General features: G+C 37.4%; 2 long non-coding RNA genes across 2 annotated transcripts; both read right to left on the reverse strand.

The window, feature by feature from the left end:
• Positions 1 to 425: 425 nt before the first annotated feature.
• LOC105377568 (uncharacterized) lies at positions 426 to 13,783 on the reverse strand. Its single transcript, XR_001741481.2, has 3 exons — positions 13,696 to 13,783; positions 12,489 to 12,563; positions 426 to 506 (listed from the first exon to the last, which is right to left on the reverse strand). It is a non-coding gene; the product is annotated as an uncharacterized LOC105377568 (long non-coding RNA).
• Positions 13,784 to 13,798: 15 nt separating this feature from the next.
• On the reverse strand, positions 13,799 to 23,388 carry LOC124900821 (uncharacterized). Its single transcript, XR_007058399.1, has 3 exons — positions 23,305 to 23,388; positions 16,340 to 16,460; positions 13,799 to 13,885 (listed from the first exon to the last, which is right to left on the reverse strand). It is a non-coding gene; the product is annotated as an uncharacterized LOC124900821 (long non-coding RNA).
• Between the last annotated feature and the right edge of the window lie 97 nt (positions 23,389 to 23,485).

Consider the following 23,485-nt stretch of genomic DNA (forward strand, 5'->3'; position numbering starts at 1 on the left):
AATCCAGGTATCTTAATAAGTGTTGACTCCTCCAAAACTTGACCATTAATAGCCTACTGTTGACCAGAAGCCTTACTTACAACATAAACAGCCAATTAGCACATATTTTATATGTTGCATGTATTATATACTGCATTCTTAAGCTAGAAAAAAGAAAATGTTACTAAGAAAATGATGAGGAAGAGAAAATAGATTTACTATTAAGTGAAAGTGGATCCTCATAAAGGTCTTCATCGTCTTTGTCTTCACGTTGAGTAAGCTGAGGAGGAGGAGGAAAAGGAGGGGCTGGTCTTGCTTTCTGAGGGGTTGCTGACTTGGGAGGAAATCGATCTGTAAATGGATCCACGCGGTTCAAATCTGTATTGTTCAAGTGTCAACTGTACTTTTTCTTAGAAGTCTTACTCAGGTTATTGCGTCCAAGTTCAATGCCACCAGGTCGCATTAGACCGTAGGTAGAGGCCCACTGCTGGTTAAAGGGTTCAAATTTCTTCTCTTAATAAGATTTACTGGATGAGAATATTAGAGGACAAAAAATATAAATAATAATAACAACAATATTAATAACAATAAAATGCTTTAGCTGTTTTAATAAAGAAGAAAGGCCTCTCTGCTTGTGTTGGTGAACAGCAGGAAATGATACACGGCTCAGAGCTGGACAAGAATATGGTTAACTAAGATGGGGACTTAAGCTGCCCTCTCTCATTTACAATTTTTCTCCCTGAAGCATCTGATATGGTTATCTTGAAGGTATTTGGTTTTATAGTTATCAGGAAAAGGGAAGCCATGATAACTGTACAATACTCTATCCCTCACCCTAGTCCCCCAGTCAGCCCTCAGGTAAGCTTATTGTTTGCAGATGATTAAATCTGTTCCTCTAAAAAAATAACTTATGATTCTGTAAAATCCATCTTCACGTGGAGTACTGAGATATAGTATAATTTTCTCCTCATTAATAAATAAAGAACCTGTCAAATGTGAAAATGTTAAGAATATGAATATGGCAACATAAACATTTAACTGATGGGCCCAAAGTAAACTTAACAGCCACAGAAACAAAGTGTTCTGAATAAGGGGAAATAAGCCGCTTCTGTTCAGTCTCTTCATATATGCAGTCATTTGTATATATGCAATGATGCCAGCTAGAGTTATCAGCCTAATATCTGTGCAGAAACGCTTCAAAAACAACATGATATACTTAAACCTGTTGTTATTTTAAATATATGAATCAAATGAAACTGTGCCACAGCTACAAACTCAATGCAGATTTCTTGCTGAGAAGTATTCACATAACAAATGTTTAGCTTTCGCTTCATTTAGTCTATTTGTCTAACAGTTTGAACACTTATAACTATCTTCCTTTATTAAATTCCCTGTGTTCCCCTGCAGTTTACCATTCTTTTATAAAAGACAGATGTCCTAGGAATCTATTCTCATGTACCTGCTATGTTTAAACAGTGCTTTATTTTAAACAAACTTTAGCATAGTTGAATAATTAAATAACAATATTTTATTAAAATTTATTGCATTTATTTTATTTGACATTAAATAACAGTTTAAAAACTTTGATAAATTCTATGGATGGAGTCTTCTCAGAGAAATATACAAACACATAACTACCCCAAATTTTTGTAATTTCAGGATATTTATAGATTCCAGACTAAAAGCCAGTTATAATACATTTAATGTTTGACATAACATTTTACATATTTCTGTTTGTTATTGACTATTTGCATTATTTAGCTATTTAGGAGAATGTTATATAGTCTGTATAACGCCTATGAAATTATATTTTAAAGACTATTATTTCTTACAAAATGAATCTGACTTATGTCTGTCCCTTGTTTTAAACTGTTTCCCAAGAAAGATTAAGTAGAATATGTATATATGCAAGTATAACATAATGTAGCATAAATTGATCATAAAGAATTTTACTTGTGTAGCATATGCATATTTATGACACGGAGGTACATTATAATAACCACATTCTGGTACGACATCAGATCACTAAGAGGGGTCTAAAGTGTTCATCAGTCCTGAGAAACAAGTAGCTTCCACAGGTCATTTTGTGTTCATTGTCACCCATTGCAGGGCTAAAAGAAAAGTCTGTGTAGCTAATTATTTGCAGAGAAATTAACTGTAGGGAAGTGCACCATGATTATTCTCATTATGACCTGAGGTTCTAAACAATTTAAACAACTATGAGGCAAGAGCAGATGGTACTTTCTTTTTTTTAAGTAATAAACATAGAGAAAAGTACTCCTGAGAAATCTAGTTCACCAGAAAGCCATCATGTGCATTGTCAGCATTGGGAAGAAGCCCAATTCCCCATGAATTTTAAAAGTATAAGATCACTATGAATGGAACCATACTGACATCTTTAATCTATTTGTAATAAATAACTATAATGCATTTGTCATTAACAACCTGAGGGAGAGTGCAGTTAGGGGGAATTACACCAGCCCCATCCGTTTCTTGGCTAACTAAAGTTTCTTAAGAATAATCTACCTAAATGGATTTCGATATAAAAATGGGAGATACTATGAAGGTGTTGGGTGTTTTAACGTCCTTTAGAACATACTGAGACTATGTAAATTAATCAGGCAGTCTTTTTCATTTGCCAGACATTGGTCCCTGATTAGCCTTGTTTTCAGCAAGGATGAATGATAGTCCTTGTGTTTTATTACTCTTTTCACCTCAAACATCAACCCACATGCTGAAATCTAATCCAGAAATAAAATGAGAGTTACTGTTTCTTTTTTGCTATCCGCTTTTAATTGTATATTGACATAAAATCTAAGAGTATTTCAACAAAGAAAAATTGAACAAATAGGCATATTCCCATCAATGGGAAGGGAATCATTTTAGGGAGGTCTGGATTTTTTTTTTTTTTTTTTTTTTTTTTGAGATGGAGTCTTGCTCTGTCACCCAGGCTGGAGTGCAGTGGCATGATGTCGGCTCACTGCAAGCTCCACCTCCCGAGTTCACACCGTTCTCCTGCCTCAGCCTCCCGAGTAGCTGGGACTACAGGTGCCCGCCACCACGCCCAGCTAATTTTTTTGTATTTTTAGTAGAGACGGGATTTCACCCGTGTTAGCCAGGATGGTCTCGATCTCCTGACCTCATGATCCGCCCACCTCAGCCTCCCAAAGTGCTGGGATTACAGGCGTGAGCCACCGCGCCCGGCCTGGATTTTTTTTTTCAGATCACTGGATTTTAACATAATAAAAACATGAGAGAGCTTATTTCCTTTGACCATTTGGGACTTAGATTAAGGCCAGGAAGACCTTATAACTGCTTGTTGACTTAGGGAACATTTTTCCCTACATGTTGCCTCTTCCTTTTCTTTACATTTTTTTCTTTTCGTTATTCTATAATAACTTTTATTGCCTCCATTATTATTTAATTCACATAGTTGGTTTATTTAAATTCTTGGTAAAATGAGATAAAGTTGTAAGAACAATATGTACTACCCTGAAAAAGGTAATCAATAAATAGCAACAGTCAATTCATGCCAGTTTCCATTTTTCTTCTTGTCTTTGCTTCCTCTGACTATATGAACTATTAAGTACTATACAAAGCTACTCATAGTTGTTTAGATCTGGCTTGATAGTGCTGTTACTAACTGGGTAATATCAGCCACTCTTAAGTTGTTCAGAACTCTTCTGGGTGTGTCTGGTTCCCCTCACAACCAGAGTTAGCTCTTCTGGCTTTGGGCTTTGCTAGTTGTGTGCTGTAAGCTTTCTGCCCTTTCGAATGGAAGTCTAGCACTGGGTATACATATAGAAGAGATAGGAGTGATTCTGGTCCCCAAGAATGTCTTCCCTAGATGTTATATTAACCATGCTTCTAGCTTCAGTAAATTTGATGCTTTAACATTTGTCCTACATGCATATGCTGTCCTTGTTCTGGACAATCCAACAATCCAATATGCCTGAGTCACCCGCCGTGAACCCCTGCTTACCTGATCACTCCCCATCCTTGAAATAACAGTTCCTCCTTGTGGCATGCCTTTCAAATTTCAAATACAAATAAATGCATTCAGAGTTCACACCACCAGCCACCTTCTTTACTGGGCTCTCACACGCTGGGCCACCATGCACCTGCCCTCATCACACCAGAGCCAACACCAGACAACTAAGGACAGATGCCCCAGAGCTTGCTGCAATTATGCAAACTCACCAAAAGGGGGCCTGCCTACCCTGTCCTTCCTCTTCCTTCCCATGGAAACCACAACAAAGGCTTTTGCCTACAGTTTCCTCTCTCCCTTCTGCCTCTTGAGGGACCCCAGTACCTTCTCACATGTCCCCCACCATGGTGTGGCATGCCTCCTCTTCCAGGGACCTGTGGGTAACAAACTATCTTTTCAATAGCAGCTATTTCCTGATCTGTTGGCCTTACTGTACCTCAAATTTTCTAGTAGTACATTATATTTTTTAAAACTTGTATGCGGTTAGAAGGAGATGTGGATACCTGAACACAGGTAGTTTGATGTTTTCATACCTCTCCCTCTCCTGGCCTTGAAAATGAGGAAAAGAAAAGTCGTAGAACCCTAGAGCTGAAAGGAAGCCTGAGGGATGGGCCCAGGGAAAGATATGAAAGACTAGTTGAGGGGTTGCCAAGCTTTTCATATCTCACAAAGGCCCTGCCTGGAGCACTGTGGTCAACAACCCTGGGGATTCCATTCACCTCCTAATCTAGGAGTGTCGCCCCTGGAGTTGTGCTACATACAAACTGCACAGCGGTATGTTTTAGCCCAGAAACTTTCTTTGTCAAAGGGGAGAGGGACCCTGTGTGTTTGCTGAAATTTCTTATGAAAGTTGTCTTTGAGCAATTGTGCATTGGTAAAGCTCATATATAATGTAAACAACAGAAGGCATCAGATCTCCTTCCGGAGCAGATAAAGGCACTAGATATTGGCTACTGATACACAAATCCACTATTCTAATAAGAAGCCTCAGAAGAGTTCCTTCATATTTTTAAGGAAGTTGTAAATGTTATGCAATATGTTTATGTCTCTTAAAGTGTAAAATTTCCAATTTCTATAAGCAAGAATATTATGGAAACAAGCATTTAAATTGCTGTTTATTCTTCATAGCTAAACATGTTGGAAGAGCACAGGACTAGGATTATGAATGCAATTTCTGAAATCATACAGGGGCAACTGGAAACATTTTTCAAGTTGGGAAATTGGATTGACTATATGATAAAATATGGCAGTTGTATGGAAGCTTAAAGATTTTTAAATGTGCCGTTTTTAAACTTTGCTAATTATGCTTTTATATTCCCATAATTTCTTTTTGACGTGTGCATACCCAGAGTTGTTGAAATTTAAATTTGTTCTGTGCACGTTTACAAATATATGTTTCTGAGAGATTATTACCCAGAAGAGCTGGGCTACATTGGACTGAGTTGGGAAAAGGTCTTCATGGGGTGCTACTAAGGGTTTTTAGTCTGAAGTTACGAACACACTACAAAATTTAATGCATACATTTATGAAATAAAACTGCAAACATTTAAAGTATTTTCAAGTAGCTAATGAACAAATTGTATTTCTAAAGAATGGCTTTATGAAATCTGAAGCATTCATTTGAACCTCTGAACAGCCACATATGCGAAGAGAAGAGGCCTTGGATAAATCTGAGTACGAGGCCACAACATCTCACAGCTCTGGTTGAGTAACGAATATTTCAGGCAGTTAAGTTTCCATACATACTCGGTTTTCCTATGCTGAAACTCAGAGAAAGCAATTTGACAAGGTAGTAATGATGTCCTTTCAACCAAGGATTCATCAAATATATGGCGACTCGTCGTAATTCTGGGACAGACTTGAGACTCCTGCTAACTTGTTACCTTGTCTTCATGTAGAATCAAGGCCATCATCTCACACGGGCAAATTTCTCTTCTGTGTATTAATAATCTCTTAGGAAGAAGATTATAGAATTCTGCAATAACTTATCAAAGTAAAATTCTAAATCTAACTAGAAAAGTTTCAAAATCTAATTGCAGGAAACATTAAAAACACACACAAACTTAAGCACAAGAAATTAAATGAGAAGCATTTATCCATCTATAAGCAGATATAAATACTGTTAAAATATTTTGCATAAACCCTTATACTCTGTGATCTTCATATCTGTTTGTTTCTAATTAGCAATACGTTGTGAGCCCTTCTGTCACTTTAAATACTGTTATATTATGTTGATGTATTAAGGGAGCCACTGAGAAGAACTTTTTTTCTTACCCAGGTTCTAAACAGCTGTGATATATGATGAAAGTGTTGGCAGATTGGGGTTGAAATGTAATTTTTAATGCTGAAAAAGACTAGGTTGCAAGAGGTGTCTTATCAATGCAGGCAATGAGGCTTATTGATACTGAAGCCCAAATTAAACAGCATATCCACCGGGCAATAGATGGTCCTAGCCGGGTGTAAGTTTTGCTCTACAAGAGTCTTGCCTGGACAATTTCAAATATTGGAGGAGTGAAAGAGAGCTAATGCTATCTGTAGGAAAACTGACACCCAAGAGGAAAAGACAGGGCTTTTATACTCTTTTCCTGTTTCCAAAATTACTAATCCAAGCCGGTCATTTCTCCATGATAAGGAGATATGACAAGATGGAGAGAAGCCAGGAGTGCCTACTAATTAAATTACCTGGAGGAAAACATAAGAACTGACGGTGACATACCTCCACTCACTTCCACCGAAATACAGCATTATTTTCAATGGCTGTGTGGTATTTTGTTTTACAAATGTAACATCGGTGTCTAAATAAATCCTTTCTTGTTGGACACTTGTTTACAGATGTTCATTACTGTAGGCAATATTCTGATCTTTGTGTCTATGTCTTTGCATTTCTTTATCATTAATTTCTTAAGATTAATTATTAGATGTTGAATTGCTGAATAGATATTGGCAAATTTTCCTCCAGAAAGGCAGTCAACATTTGAATGCCTGTAAGTGGTGTTTAGAATTATCCTCCCCATAAGAAATGTTTACATTCTTGTCAACCTCAGTACTACCTTTAGTCTTCTTCTTAATCTTTATCAATTTATTTTCTTAAAAAGACTTGGTATCATTCATTTGGTTGCTGGTGATATTTAACATGTTTTATATAGTTAATGGCCATTTTATGAATTAATTTTTTTAGATTATTTCTGTTTTCAGATTATTTCTGTTTTTATTTCTGTTTTTCTTTAGTTAATTTGCTACATTTATTTGCTAGGACTTTTATTATATAATGTGTAGTAAAGGGTTTCATAACATGCCAAACACTATTTAAATTTTCCAATGATAATTTTAATATATATTTATTGTTATAATTACAATATGTTCAATTTTCATCTTTGTGCTGAAGGTGCTTGTTTGTAGTTGTCACCTCTAAAAAATCTCAAACCACGTTAGTTTCCCCAAAATAGATTTGGAAGCCATCACACACTAAACTTGTCAATCAGATTAATTTTAAGAATTACCCATCTTAATTTTTAGCTGATGAATTAAAATATATGGAGGTTTGCTCCATTTAGGATTTTAGTCTCTCTGCAGCTTTCTGTGAAACCTTCAGTACCAATATGTAATTAATTTTATCTGATTATTTCTCCCAAGCACTAAAGCCAATGTCAACATATGAAATCTGTGCAATGTATTCCACTACCATCACGAAATATTGCGATCTCTTCACCCGGTCCTTGAACTTTGAGGCGACAGGACCTGTGAAAAGAGTATTTTTGCTTTCCAAGCCTTTGTGGGAAAATCTTATTTATGGTTCCCATCAACCAGAATGCTCTAGTTCTATTTCCTTTTCACATCAAAAACAAATATTTCTCCAAACATTGCCCATCATTGAGTTGAGTCCCCTTTGGCTACCGTGTAAAATAATGTAGCCCTATCTATTATACGTGACCTGGCATGGCCTTCCTATAATAATGCATGGCCTTGTTACAAATGCTAACCATTTTGTTTCCTCTTTAATTCTCAATAGGGCACAAATATATTAACCCATGACATTTTTCCTAATAGAGATTAGAGAATGAAATTAATGCATTGAACTTTATATTAGCATTCAATGTGCTCTTGTGTTTTAGAAATTAAAGTAACTTTTTGTAGTAATTTGTTGTTGTTTTTTGAAAGCTATGTCTCGAAAACAAGACAATGTAAATAAATAACTGTGTGGTCCAGCTGTGACTTATGCAACATGGCCACCCATCATCCAATTTCGTATTACTCTTTGAGCAGTGGATCAGGCCACAGGAGTGGTTTTCCTCTGGGAAGCACAGGAAATGCAGTTATACTGATGGGAGGGCACCCGGAAACATATATTAAGCAAACTCACTTCAGATGAGTGAGTTTATGGATAAGGTGGAAAAATACATAGAAGGGCATAAAAACCATTTGGGTACCAAACGATTTAGGAGTACAGAAGTACAGTATCTACCATCACGTTTATAGATCTTGGCTTTGAAATAGTGTCCAGTTTCTTTTTCCATCTCAGCCACTAACTGAGCTACCAAGAGGAATGTAATACTTATCTCTCTGAGGCCTTTGGGGCTTATTCATTCTCTTAAAAGTGGGAGCTTTGGAGGAAAATCATTAGTCATTGCCTGGATACTAAAGAGAGGAAAGCTTATCCACTAAACAATGACTATTTTGCCATTTGCAGTGAACCATTCGACTGGGGATTTTTTATTGTTTCTTTGAGCTGAATGAGGTTATTCATCACTTGATCTCCCCCCAGGGCTACTTACTTCAGAGCTTACTAAATAAAAGAAAAGAAAGAAAGAAATAAAAGGGAGGGAGAGAGTGCAGTATTTTCACTAGCCTCCTAATTATAATGATTTGTGACTTACTACACAGAAGTAGTATTAGGTATGTGTGCTGCATGAATCACTATTTAGTTCTGAGATATATTGGACTCTGTGTAGATGAACTTTGGTCTTATAAGTGGTGGCTGTGCACCAATGGTTTCCCATTCAACTTAAAATAAAATTACTCTCACTCACAGTAGCCACAGAGCCGTATATAATCTGGCCCCTCACCTCTTCTCTCAGATTCCAATTGCACCACCTTTTCTGTCCATGAAATACAGAAACCTTATGCCCACTGAGGGCTTCTTCTAAGAAAACTCTTCCTTCTAGAAATTTGCATGTCTGGATCCATATTATCACCCAGATCAAAAGTTAGTCTTTTGTATACCTAATGTGTACCCACAAAAATTTAAAACTCTTTTAAAAAGTTACTCCTAAGGGAGAAAAAGCCTTCCCTGGCTATTCTACCTGCAAATATTCCCTCCCAGTTACTCTCCATCACAAAATCCTGTTTTAATTTCTTTAAGGCCGCTGTTGCTATCAGAAATGATCTTGTCCATTTATATATATACCTGTTCACTGTCTGTCTTTCTAACTACCCCGTGTAATCTTGGAAAGCAGGAACCTTATCTGTCTGGTTCCCACCACTTATCTCTAGAAGTCCCTTCTAGCACCTAGAAAAGTGCTCGATGTATAGTTGGTTCTCAATACAGAGATGCCAAGTGAACAAATGCTTATACAATCTATTTGACCACACCATTTTATCACCCAGACATCATCAACCATTTCAAGACTGCTAGTGACAAAATCAAGAAATCCCAGACAAATAAATCCTATTTCTGTAACTACATCAAAATGTCCAGTCCAAGATTAAGGTGACATTATGAGATTCAGGGTTGAATTTCTTTCTTCTTTCAAACATTTGTATTGAATTGAGTATTTACTGTATGCTGGGCTCTCGTGGTCCAATGATGAACAGACAGACATGCTCTTTGACGGCAGAGTGTGTATAGTATTGAACTAGCAGCAAAGAAATAATTAACAAAGCAAATACATCTCAGTCGGTTTTACGTTGCTATAAAGAAATATCTGAGGCTGGGTAATTTATAAAGAAAGGAGGTTTATTTGGCTCATGGTTCTTGCAGGCTCTCAAGAAGCTTGGTGCCAGCATCTGTGTCTGGTGAGGTCTCAGGAAACTTTCACTCCTGGTAGGAAAGTGAAGGGCAGCCTGCATGTGTAGCAACTATGAGAGAAGTGGGAGGTTCCAGGCTCTTTTTATCAACCTGTACTCATGAGAACTAAAAAAGAACTCACTCACTCCAGCGAGAATGGCACCAACCAAGACCCACATGTCTTCCACCAGGCTCCACTCTCAACACCGGGGATCAAATTTCACCATGAGTCTCAGTGGTGCCAAGCAGACCATATCCAATCCATAGCAAAATATAAGGTAATGTGATAAGTCCAACAAGAAAGAAAACACAATGTAGCACTAGCTGACATAGTTCAGGGAGATTGGTGAAGACTGCTCAGAGAAAGTGAGTCTAATCAGAAAGCCACACGTTGCCTAAGGATTGGGATATGTTCTGAGAAATGCATGGTTAGGTGGTTTGATCATAGTGTGAGCATCAAAGAGTGTACTTCTGTAAACCTAGATGGTATGGCTATTACACAGCTACACTCTATGGCAGAGCCTCTTGCTGCTAGGTTACAAACCTGCGTAGCATGTGACTCTAATGAAAAATTGGGGAAATTGTAACACAATCGTAAGTATTTGTGCATTTAAAGATATCTAAACACGGAAAAGGAACAGTAAAAATATAGTATTATAATCGTATGAGGCCACCATTGTATACATAGTCTGAAAAGTCAGTATGTGGCATATGACTGTACTTTGAATGGAAAATCTCAGAGAAAGATGAGGCTGCTGATTTTTAAAAAACTAAGAAACACTAAAGTGTTTGGATTTTATCTAAGGGGAATGAGAAGCATTACAAAATTTTAAGCAAGGAAGGGGATGGTGCTTTTTGTATTTTAGAGACATCCTTCGGCTGCATTATAGAAACAAATGTACAGGAGATAGACCTGCAGCAGGAAGTTGGAAGCCATTGCTGTCAATTAGAAGCTGTTGTGTTAATCTAGACAGGAGATGATGGGGCTTTGATCACAGAAGTGGCAGTAAGGGGACATAGATTTCTCTCTTAGAGGTATAACCAGTAGGGCTTTAAAAATTAATTTGATATAGGCCCTTAAAAAGAGGACAAAACATAAATGCACCCAGGTTTCTGGCTTCTACAATTGGGTGGTGGTACCTTCCAATCTTTGATTCAAAAAATATTTACTAAACACTGACTATGAATTAGCAACCATATAGGCACTGGGGATGTGGCTGTCCGACAACACATTAAGTCCTAAATTAATGGAATACAAAATTAAATATGCAACATGCCCGGTAACAGTATGTCTTCTGGAAGAAAGTAACAGAAGATAAGCGGGGTGAGAGTGCTGGAGCAGTCAAGGAGGACGCTGCTAATGAATATCATTTGAACAGAGACATGAAGAAAAGAGGGAGACGCACAGAAAGATGGGGGCATACGCAGAAGGCTGAGCAAGTGCAAAGGCCCCTCAGGCTTGTTATGTTTGAGGAACAGCAAAAAGATTGGCCTGGCATAGGACAGTAAACCAGGAGGGTAAGCAGTAAAAGAAACATAGAGATGAGCTGGGGATCTTGGCATGATGAGCTAGCTGCTTGACCACCTACTGTTTCACCAACCATCAAGGTATTCAGGTGTATGCTGAAGGCCAACTTGGTTAGAGATGCTAGTGAAATTATTCGAACATAGTACAGATTCCTAAAATCAATGACATTAAGGCCCTTCTAGGGACTCTTAGAACTCTGAGATCCTGATTCCATTGTCCTAAATCAAGCCTTGCCTTCATTATCCCCTTTGTTCCCTGGTACATGTCGGGTGATATTAGACTTTACCGTATCCAAGTGGGAGCAGCTTTCTCTTTTAGACCCAGATAGTCATCTGGGCAGGAAAAGACCTCTAATAACTAGATGGTTTACTGTCAGGTTCCCAGGTGCCCATCAAAATTTTTTAAAGTTCTATTGATATTAGGGTTTTTAAATAATAACAATGTGATCTTTCTTGCTTAAAGTTTGACACAGTAAAAAATATATGAGTAAACCAATGTGTTATTAGAACAGGGTTAGCCTTAAGCAAAATTGAGAAGTAGGGAAATGATTACTTTTCTTTCCTTTTGATACACTTTTTTTTCTACTTTAGGTCCCTTCTCCCACCCTTTTCTGTTATAGTCTCCCAACACAGTGCTGAAGGCTGTTTCTTCACATTTCCACCATCGCAACCCAAACCCACCTGTTAAGTTTCCTCAAGATATTGATTATTACAAAGCTAGACAATCAAATACATTCATCTGTACAATTCTGCCAACAGAAAAGGCAGCTGACCATCACCCCTCCCCTCCTGTGTCATATACACAATCTATAGTGACTTGTTTCAAATATTTTCTCGTGTGTGTGTTTGTGTATGTGAGTTGTGTGTGTGAGCATGTATTTAGGATGACATCTGAAAATTCAAGTGCCAGGTTAAACCAGCAAAGGAGATATTTGGGGCAGATAGAGTCTTATGAAACTTTAAGCAAAGAGGAAAGAGGCTTCCACTTACGTTGTCTACGAACAGATCTGTCTCTTTGTGTAGATGCTGAATATTTTCAGTCTGTTAATAGAATCCACCATGAACCTAAAGTCAGAGAGCAGAGAGAAGAGAAAGAATTATACTTGTGTGCAAAGAAAATAGTTAAGTGATCTAAATGTGGCTCTGTACAAGGCTCCGAAACACTTTTTGGGCACCAGAAAAGTTCCCTAATAGCTATTCTGTTGGATCTTAGCTGATAGTTGCTTCATTACTTAAATAATGTTCTTACTCAGCCATCTTCAACCAATAACATCAAAATCAAACAAAATAATTATATCAATTTCAGTAGAGACAGACAGTGAGCAAGCTATTATAATTAAATTGTGTATACATAAGATACAAAATATCTCTCTTTGATGTGGTACTCTTTCAACCTGTTATTTTTAATGAGTTGAGCTGTTCATGTATTTATTTAATTCACGTATTTTTGTGTTTTTATGTGTGTTCCCAGAGGCCTTTAGGCGATGAATGCATTTTTAATAAATTGCATTTGAAATAAATAAATAGTGGTGGTTCATTACACTGGGACCAACTTTTTTCATGGTAGAATTAAAATGAATGAATATTTAACACTATTATTTGAGTCAGTTGAACATGAATTTTGTGGGAGGTTTTTCCCCTTGAAAATGGTTACACTATGAAATGCTCCTCTTAAGGAGTAATTTTAAAATATTCAATAGGGAATAATATTTCAATATAACAATTTTCTACTAACGTGCTCTTCTTCAAATTATTTATGTGATGAAAATCTAGTACTGTTTATTTATATCTGTGTGTCCATTGTAGGCTTTCTTTTTTTTTTTTTTTTTTTTTTTTTTTTTGGAGATGGAGTCTCGCTCTGTCGCCCAGGCTGGAGTGCGGTGGCGGGATCTCGGCTCACTGCAAGCTCCGCCTCCCGGGTTCACGCCATTCTCCTGCCTCAGCCTCCCAAGTAGCTGGGACTACAGGCGCCCGCCACTACGCCCGGCTAATTTTTTTGTATTTTTAGTAGAGACGGGGTTTCACCGTTTTAGCCGGGATGGTCTCGATCTCCTGACCTCGTGATCCACCCGCCTCGGCCTCCCAAAGTGCTGGGATTACAGGCGTGAGCCACCGCGCCCGGCCTGTAGGCTTTCTTAACCAAAAATTTATTTTTTTTAATTTTGTCAAAAAATTAAAACGTACCTGAAGTGCTCACCTTGGCAAGGAATTACAATCTTCATGAGACTAAAGATACATATCTGCATTGCTAAAGATTATGAAATTAGCCTCAATTCTTATAAAACTGTTCTACTGCCAAAGCAAAAGTTCTTGCATTCTATCGTATTTCAAGCCAATATTTATGCCTCTTATTTTTCTTCTTTGAAGAGAGAATTTTGGCATAGTTCCTGGAATAAGAATGAGGTAGATATAATGCACACTCTAAAACATTAAGATGAACTTATCTTCGACAAATGGATTCAGCATCTAAATACCAAAGATACTTTAATTGCTTATTAACAACATTTTAAATTGTCTGATGAATGCACATTGTGGAGATATTCTTAAAATCATTCTTCATAACAGAAAAATACTGTAACTGTCTACTTCAGATCATTAAAAAAGCATTAGATGTAAATTTCAAATAGGTATATCCTTTGGAACAGACCTGTTTATCATTATGATATACACATATCTATATATATTTATTTTAATATATGTGTACACATTATACACATATATAATATAGAACATTTAGTATTAAATATGAGAAAAATTAGAAAATGAGTCCTTTTTCTATTCAAGGACATAGTCAAGTCAGGTACAGTGGATATATCTATGTATGCAATGTTAATTTGCAATATCTTTATGATGCATACAAAAAAACAGTATATTTGCCATTTTAGGAAATGTAGGCATATAATTACTAGTTCTTGTGAAGTTAGGTTTTGTTCTAGAATTTTTGAACTTAGTATCCTACACTTTTTACCAGATGCTCAATTGTTTTCAAATTTCAGTCCATAAAACACACTCTTTCTTAATGATATATAGAAGTTACTGGAGTTAGCATACTTCAAGGATTTCTGGGAAGGGCCACATTTTCTTTCCCTGGAATTTTAAATTCAAGTGAATTGATGTAAACCACAGGAAAGCTATTGCTGGTTTGTCAGGGAGTCATGGATATGTACGGGCTACCGTCTGCCTGCAGAACTATAGGCATAGATCAGTGAAGCACCAGACATTCTCTGCCTTCAAGGAACTTCTCCTCGTATGGTGAGTCTAGGCACGGGGCCTGCAACTTACATTCATTCTATGAGTACATTTGAAGGCATTGCCAGCCTTGTTGCATGGGAAAGCTGAGGGGTATGTAATGGTAAAGACAGCAACAGCTGTGGAGTCAAGACAGTGCTGGCGTGAATCCTGCTCACAACCATTTTCTGTTGTGAATCCTGGACAAGGTGCTTTATCCCACTGTGCCTCAGTTCCTTTTATATAAAACGAAGATACTAGCATTATTTCACAGGGTAGATATGAATATTAAATAAAACAATACCTGTAATCGGCATTCAGTAACTAGTAATCCCTTCCTTAATGCCTACAAGTTCTAGAAGGATGAATTCTAAAGAGTGATCAAAGTAGCTGAATAAATTTGGAAAACCTTTTTAATGTAACTGAGCTAAACAGGGACTTAAGGTATCATAGCACAGTCCTGAGAGACTCTTATATTTACAGGAAGGTGGCTAGTCAGCTCACATTGGAAAGTGTAAGGGCTTAGCCACTCATTTTTCCTCCAGGGTTTGATGTGGTGACCAAATGCATGAGCTGAGGCCTCCTTGACAATGCCGCCATTCCTGGAACGGTTTGCAGTGTTGAGGCAGCTGAGAAAGGCTCACCTCACAGGGGACACTCTGAGTCCCATGAATTGCTATCATCTCCACAGAGAACTGAGTGGCAGTCTCACCGAAGAAGTGGTTGTTGCCAGCATTAAATGAAATAGTGCAAATAGAGTACTTACTGCTATACATGAAGTATTGAACAATACATGTTGATTGCTGTTGCTATTATTATTATTTTCCCTACAAATTATGGTAAAATCAAAACATAAAAACATGTAAGGAAGACACTTTTCACAGAATTTTTTAGAAGGGCAATGGCAATGATGTCAACTAAGACTTTCCAGAAAAGTAACAACTTAGTTTTTAAAAAACTAAAACAAACTAGTAAAAGTCAAATGAATAAGATATAGATGCATATTCTGGGCCCAGAAGCTGGCTTTAATATTCCTACCTCCCTGAGATTTTGTGATTATTTTTGTTGTTGTTGTTCATTTGTTTGTTTGTTTCTGTGATGCCTTATCTAATCTAGAAGCTCAACAAATGCTCTTAAATAAATGGATACTGGAATGGGGGAAAAAGGTTTCTGGAATGGAGAAGAAGGTTAGACATATCAGTCCCCTCCCCTTTCTGAGAGTTAGTTAAGTTTCATGAACTAAGTCTCTTATGCAGACAGGAAGGGAAGAAGAAAAACTGTGTTGCAACATACTGGTTTTTATGGTAGATGTTCCATTTTGATACCCAGTGTACATAAGCCACTTGTTGTAAAAAGGTTAGGCATGGGAGCAGCCATCTTTATCATAGCCCAATAGAGTAGCATTGACCACATGGCAGGTATTGTATATTAATAACCATTCACACAGACAAATAACTTTTAAATATGGGAAACCTCTCATGGCCTTGGAAACTCTGTGTTATTATATTGGATTTTTGTGGAAAAGGAATTCTGACATTAGTGTTACTATGACACATTTTGACGTCTGCATTTCCTTTTAAAATTTATTGAGATATGAGTATCTCCTTATATACCATTTATTTCCAATTTTGTGATATCAGAATGGACTCTCACTGCACAACAGAAACTGCCTCTGGCTGTATGCCAGTCATCTGATATTTTCTCAGCTGCTGGATGGTCTATCGATCTGGTCACCTAAGGTGAGGAAAAAAAACAAGCTCAAAAAAATTGTATTCAAAGCTCCTGTGATCATTTTTTCCCCTTTTGTGGCAGCAGGAGGGCAATGGGGGAGGGGAACTTTTTCCGTCTCACTGGGGAAAATGAGAAAATCACAGCCACACACAATTTATGTAGGTCATGCTACCAGTGAAAGGAGAATAAGTCTATGTCCATTTCCTATAAAAAGAGAGCAAAATGGGCCCACTCCAAAATTTACTCTTTTGTCTATTTCAAAAACACTTTATGAACTGAAATATCCAGCTGTTTCTATAATGTCATATTGAAAGTAGTATTTGCCCAAATGAAAAACCTATGGAGAATAGTCAAAGATTTTACTCTACTACTAGTAAATACTTTAGGCAAATGAGGAAATTACTAGCATGGATTGCCATTCATTTTGAGTAAATCTAAAGTTATGAACTGATGGGGAAAATGAGAGCATTAGATACTTACCTAGTGCTATAATCACTAAATACATTATTTTGACATGAAATTTTATTTTGATCTATTTTAATTTGTGCCAATAAATGTCTCACCATTCTTTAGTATAAAGGCATTATTTCTCAAGTGCTAAATAATAATAGAGCTATAACAAAAACACTGAGAAAAGTTATTTTGATGGCATTTTTGTCTGTCTTAAAGCCAGCCTCCCTCCACCATTTTTTTTCTTTGTAGTAAGCTATTTTGTATAAAATAAGATTATTTTCAACCTCTTCAAATGGGATCTTCAGCTTTCTCTCAGACAAGGGGGTTGAAGGTCGTGACAGAAGACAGTGGAGAAATATGGATGTGAGCAGAAAGCCCCAGAGGGAAATCAAAGGGGACAAAGAGCAGGAAATTAGAGGAGGCAGAAGGCGCTAAAGCAGGCAGGGAAGGGCGCAGGATTCAAGCTGATCGCACCAAAGTGGCCCAAGAGAAAAACTGTGAGACAGGGTGGGCCAAAGAGCATGGCGGGAAGGTGAAGGGTGTCACACTGACACTCAGACTTAGAGCTGGAAGACAGATTACAAGTGGAAGCAAAGAGAACTTTTTTTTTTTTTATTATTGCTTAGTACCCATTTGCCCATCACTCTTCCCAAATGGCTATTGCCCCTTTCTGCTTTACAGGAAAAATAAAGGCCATCAGGGGTCAGGAATTTCACAACATCATTCCCAACTTTCCCCCAAACCTTAAATACATCTGCGTGCCCATCAGTCCCTCCTCCTCATTGGAGATCTCTGCTGTGCTATGCACCCCGTCAGGCCCTGTCAGCCCGGAGGCTTTATTCCAGAGATCACACTATCTCTATTCCACCTTCAACCTCCCCCTCCTTGACACATTTCTTCATGCAGAAACATTGCTCAAATCTCACAAAACAACCATGGGGAAAAGAACAAAACACAGCGCAATATCCAGTGACTTGTGTATTTTTCCCCTTTCACTAGGGATCGGTTTTTTCTCCCCTTCATCGCTTAAAATGGACACTCTTGGTCGCCTCCCCAGCATGTTGTGATCCCTCCTTTTTACTGATGGAACTGTAATTTTGTTCAGCTCTCCACTGGACCCAACCTCAGAGGTGGATTCTCTCTAACAGCACTTGAATTTTCTCTAGTTATTGTTATTGGACCAGGGTAGATATGTCTTTAAAGTTTGCTTTTAAAAAATGGAAGAACCCAGTGTATAGTCCATGCTGGTGTATCAGCTTCTCTCCATCTCAGCTTCTCTCCATCTCTTTCTGAAATATAAGTAAATAAAACCTTGTTCCTATAATCTGCCTTCAAGCCATTAGAGAATCAGTTTTAGGATGAGGCTTGGTGAAGAGGGCAAAGCTCAAAGAGAAATGCCCTGGTTACACTGAAATGCTGAATTAAGTAATGCCAGAGCCTACATTGCCTCTAAATTCCTGTTAGGTAACATCATAACTCTCCTCATCCAAAAGCTATTTTGAGCTGGATTTCTGTTGGTTTCATCACAAACCATCCCAATTTAAATGTAGCTCTAGTGGACCACAATATTCACTTTTATTCAATCTCCTGCCCATTCCAAACTTCACCTCTTCACCAAAACTCCAGAAAAAAACCCAGTTCTGGCTAAGATCACCAGGGAATTTTTGCTAACTCCCAGGTGGGGTATTTTCTCCTTCTATTAATTTCTCAACACTCCTTACTTCTTGAAATACTGCTTTCCTTTGGAATTTAGAAAATACACTTCCTAGTTCTTAACCTTAAAACTATTATTTTTGGGAAGCAATTCTGTAGTATGAAACTCCTATCAGAGCTCAGATCTGCAAATCCATTTTTCTGTCAGCTATGTCTTCTTGGTGGGTTCTCAATATCTTAATACGGACATATCCAAAATCGAGTTTGTCATGTTTCTCCTTAACTTGGGTCTCAGATTTTATCCTTTTGCTTTATGCTGTCTCCTCATTGGTAATTCTACCAAACACTCTGTTACTAGTGACAGAAATTTGTCATCCTCAATTCCTCTCTCCTTCCTTTCCCAGTGTCCGCTAGGAACCTAGGGTGCTTAAATGATTCTCAGCCATGCACTCTTCATTCCTATTACTTCTGCCCAAGGTCAAACTCCATGCATCTCCCTCCTAGATGGTTACAATAACCTTTTTTTTTTTTTTTTTTTTTTTTTTTGAGGCAGGGTCCCACTCTGTCACCCAGACTGAGTGTAGTGGCATTATTACAGGTTACTGCAGTCCTGACCTCTTGGGCTCAAGCAATTTTGCCTCCTCAGTCTCCTGAGTAGCTAAGACTACAAGGCATGTGCCACCACACCCAACTAAATATTGTTGCTGTTTTTAATTTTATTTATTTTTTTTGTAGAGATGTGGTCATGCTTGTTGCCCAGGGTGGTCTTGAACTCCCAGCCTCAAGTGATCCTCCTGTCTTGGCCTCCCAATGTGCTGGGATTACAGATGTGAATCACCACACCCGGCCTCATAATAATCTCTTAATTAGTTCCCAGGCTCTGTTTCTATCCTTTTTAAAATATCTTTCATCATGTTACCAGGCAGAATAAGTGTTACAAAATCAAAATGTGGTTATGTTACTCTTTGTTTCTAAAAATACCACTTATTTGCCATTTCCTATAGTACTGATGGCATGCAAGTCCTCACCATGGACCAGGCCTCATCTTTGTTCCTTGCTGGCTTTGTCATCTCCATACCAGGCATATGAAATTATCCAACTTGCTGTTTTCCTCTGATATATTTTCTGTGGTTGAAATACTCTCTTCCTTAGGCCAATTAATAAACTCTCCTATGTAATTTTTCTCCTCTGAAGTCTTCTGCTAAGCACATTTGATGTCTCCCTTCTTTTGATCATCTCCGCTAATTATAAATATCCATGTTATAGCATTTAACTCACTATATCACATGATTTGACTCATATGTCTTCTTTCACAGTTGACTCTTAAGTTCCTTCAAGGGAGCCACAGTCGTCTTCATCCCAGAACTTCCCCATTAAAAAAAAATAAGTGAACAGAAAATCATTCCATTTCTTCAGAACTGTTCTATTAAGTTTGGTAATTCAAGAGTGTTGATCTAGAATGTCTTCCAAAGGGGGCAGAAAGTACTTTTATCTTACAGAACAATTCTAATCAATATCCAGTAGCTGCCTGAAATTCTGAAGGAATTCTGAAGCTATACCCAAGCTCAGCTTGGGAGCCTTCTGGTCAATTAGCATGACCACGGGAATTCTCTTTCTTGTGCTCAAAAGGCTTTGTTCCTTAATATAGTTAATATTTCAGATAGCCTACTAAGCATCTAACATTGTCATAGTGACAGAATTATTTTAAATATTAGAATCAGGAGAGATACACAATCTCTTTGAATGTAGACTTAAAATGATTTTAGAGAACACCGTTTGTATCACATGTAAGAAATCTCAGACCCAAGATGGAGAAAATATTTTTATGTAATAATATAGTCAGACTAGAACCCAGGTTTCCTGACGTTCAATATTGTGTTACCAGGGCTCATTAAGAAAGCCTAAAGACAATATTGTACTTGAATTCTGGAAACTTGGAGCAGGCATTATATTCTGCGTTGGAAAACCACAGAGGCAGATCTGAATGCAAGTAAATAGATAATCCTATTCTTTTTTCAAGCAGAGCCCTAGTTTTCCATCTTCTAGTTTAACCTGTATGAATTATGTGAGTCACCCGTGGCTACATGACTAGTATCTATGGTGGCAGGAGATGCATTTCATCAGATGAAACTGATAGTAATGAGAACAGGCTCTCAGCTTAGTTTCAACAATGCAAAGTTGTTTAACTTTTGGGATAGTTGCTGAAATCTCTTTGCTTCAATTTTCCACCGGTGTCCATAAAGACAAGTAACTTTTAAATGTGAAAAACCACAGTGACCTCATAGGCTGCTTATTCATATTCCATTAACACATGTGAAATGCTTAAGGAGATGATGCTTATAAATGTTAATTATTAATTTGATTTTGAGAGAAATCTTCATGGATTTATTGTGTCACTGCATGTCTTATGAGCAGAGATATCAACTGTCTTTTTTCTGGATTATTCTTTCAAGGTTTTTATATAGTGAATGGTTTTGAAAACAGAGGTAATTCCTCCATTTGGAGCAGAATGCAGGTTGTTTATTTCCTATATAGAAGATTCAGGTTTTCTAGGTTGAGGATTCCTCTCCAGTAACACAATCCATTGCATGAGAAGGTGTCACATGGCCCCGTTTGCTCCCACCCTGGGTTCAGGGAACCAATTCAAATGCTGAAACACTAGCTGCTGCTGTTCATATGAATAATCAACTGTTCTTTACTTCTGACCTAGAAGCCTCCTGTCTTTTGCCAGCACTCATTAAACTGTGGCAGTCTAACCTGTTAGCTTGCAAGTATAGTAAAGTCTCAAACTCTCCCCAGTTCTTGACATCTGAATTCTGTTTATGTTTCTAATAGTAATTCTAACAGTCTATTTCAATGAGTTCTGTTTCTTCATTCGAATGAATACTTTCTCCCAGCAAAGTGATCACTGACTTGAATTTTCAGATTATCAAATCTAACAGCAGAGATCCAGAATCAGGCATAGCTCTCACATACTTACTCCTGTAATCAAATTATTTGTTCCTGATTAATGAGGAAATGTTTAGAAGCTGATTCAGCTATTTCAAATTTTCATTTCTATGGTAAGTGTGAAGTACTGAGGCGAATATCTTAGTAAATGTTTCTTTTATGTCAAATACTCAACTTCAAACATTCTATTGGTCTAAAAACTGTTCAACCTCATCTCTTCAGTGAACAGATGCAAGGTGAGCATGCTATTCCCTGACATTCTGTCCAATCATCAGAGTCACTCATTAGGGACTTGCCCTGTGCTGTACATATTCTCTTTATTCTTAAATAGATCATAGGCTACAGAATGGTAAGGAAAATTTTTGAACAAATATACGTTATGTCTATAATGCCAACACATTCCAGGTACTCAATAAATGTTTGATTCTATGAAAATATGTATCTTAAAATTATTTATTATTATATGCCTTCCTTTTTAAAATCAACCTAAAAACTTTAGGAGAATTGGAAAAAATAAAAAATTTTGGTTATTCTTAAGGTTGTAATCCCAAAAATCATTTAAGAACATAAATGAAGACAGAATAAAAATAACATATTTAGCTTCTTGACTTAATTACCTTTGAATGCTTACTCATCCCGACGGAGAACCACAATCAATGTCACTATTCTGTAAAATACATGGGAAAAGTATCTTGATTCTAAACTCAGTGGTACTCTTAGGTTTACTATGGATGAAAGACTACCCACAAGAGTGATGCTGAGACCCTGGGGCAGTAAGAACTCTGGAGACATCTTGGAGGGAGCTCCATGAAGCTGGAGTTTTGTTAACTTAAAAAGTAGACCGTGACACTTCGCCCTGGGTTACTTCCCTAAGGCTGCTCCTTGGGCTGTTGTGAAATAATAGCACCTTCAAATCTCAATACAAGACCTGAAAAGCTCTCATCCATGTTACTTACAAGCATTTCTCGAGGGAAGATAAATATAACGCTAGGCCTTGCCTCATAATGAGTGTGTCATGGGAAGAGAAACAGATAACATCCCCTCCTCCGGTGCCTACTGAGTGATAGTTTTAGAGTCTAAGACTAGAGAACAAATCTGGATAACTGAGAAGTTTCTACATGGGAGTCCTCAAGGGTTGCAAGCAAACATTTCTTAAGTACATTAAACATCTTAGCAACTCTTTCCTCACCATTATGTTCCAGACAGTATATGTTCTTAAAGGTTAATATACAGAAAATGATAGGGATTCTGAAGACTTCATAAGAGACTCTGAAGACTTCATAATCCCACTTTACCTGGTTTATACAAAATTGATTCTTAGCAAGTAAATGTCCTCTGCTATAAAGAACCTTTACAGACCTTACTCCGGAATAATATATAACTAGGCCATCTCTTCTAAAAAAAGTGTTATAGTCAGTGTCACAATTGGTTGTCAAACATCTCAGCCTATAACACCTGCTTCCTGAAGGAGAAATGTGGCAAAAGTCATTATAGGAAATTAAGACTAAAATGGATAGTATCTTTCATTATTGACATGAGAGAAGAACATCGTGTAAAATGTCCTGAAAACAGTTCATTACTAAAGCAATCTGATGCATTAAGATGATCAAAATATGTATTTGAAAATTTATTTTCTAAGATTTTTTCTCCATACTAATTCACAGAAATATTGCTAGAAAAAAACTCCTTGAAATTCAAAAACTGATGTCTCTTATCCACCAAAACAACCAGAGTTTAGTTGCCTCATGAGTAGTTGACAGCAGGTGGTCATAATTAACACCAAAAGACTTACCAAAGTAGAAGAATTGCCAAGTTAACAACCACAAGCAGGTGAACTGGACTCAGTGAGCAGTGAAAAATGTCTGAGGCAAAAATGGTCCATTTCCCCATCATTGATTTTCACTGTCCGATGAACCATGTTTCTTCATTTATTTTCTGTTGCATTTTCCTGCTTGTGGGTAGATTCCCTCATC

This window comes from Homo sapiens, chromosome 4, assembly GCF_000001405.40.
Source record: "Homo sapiens chromosome 4, GRCh38.p14 Primary Assembly".
In the NCBI taxonomy this organism is placed as follows: Eukaryota; Metazoa; Chordata; class Mammalia; order Primates; family Hominidae; genus Homo; species Homo sapiens.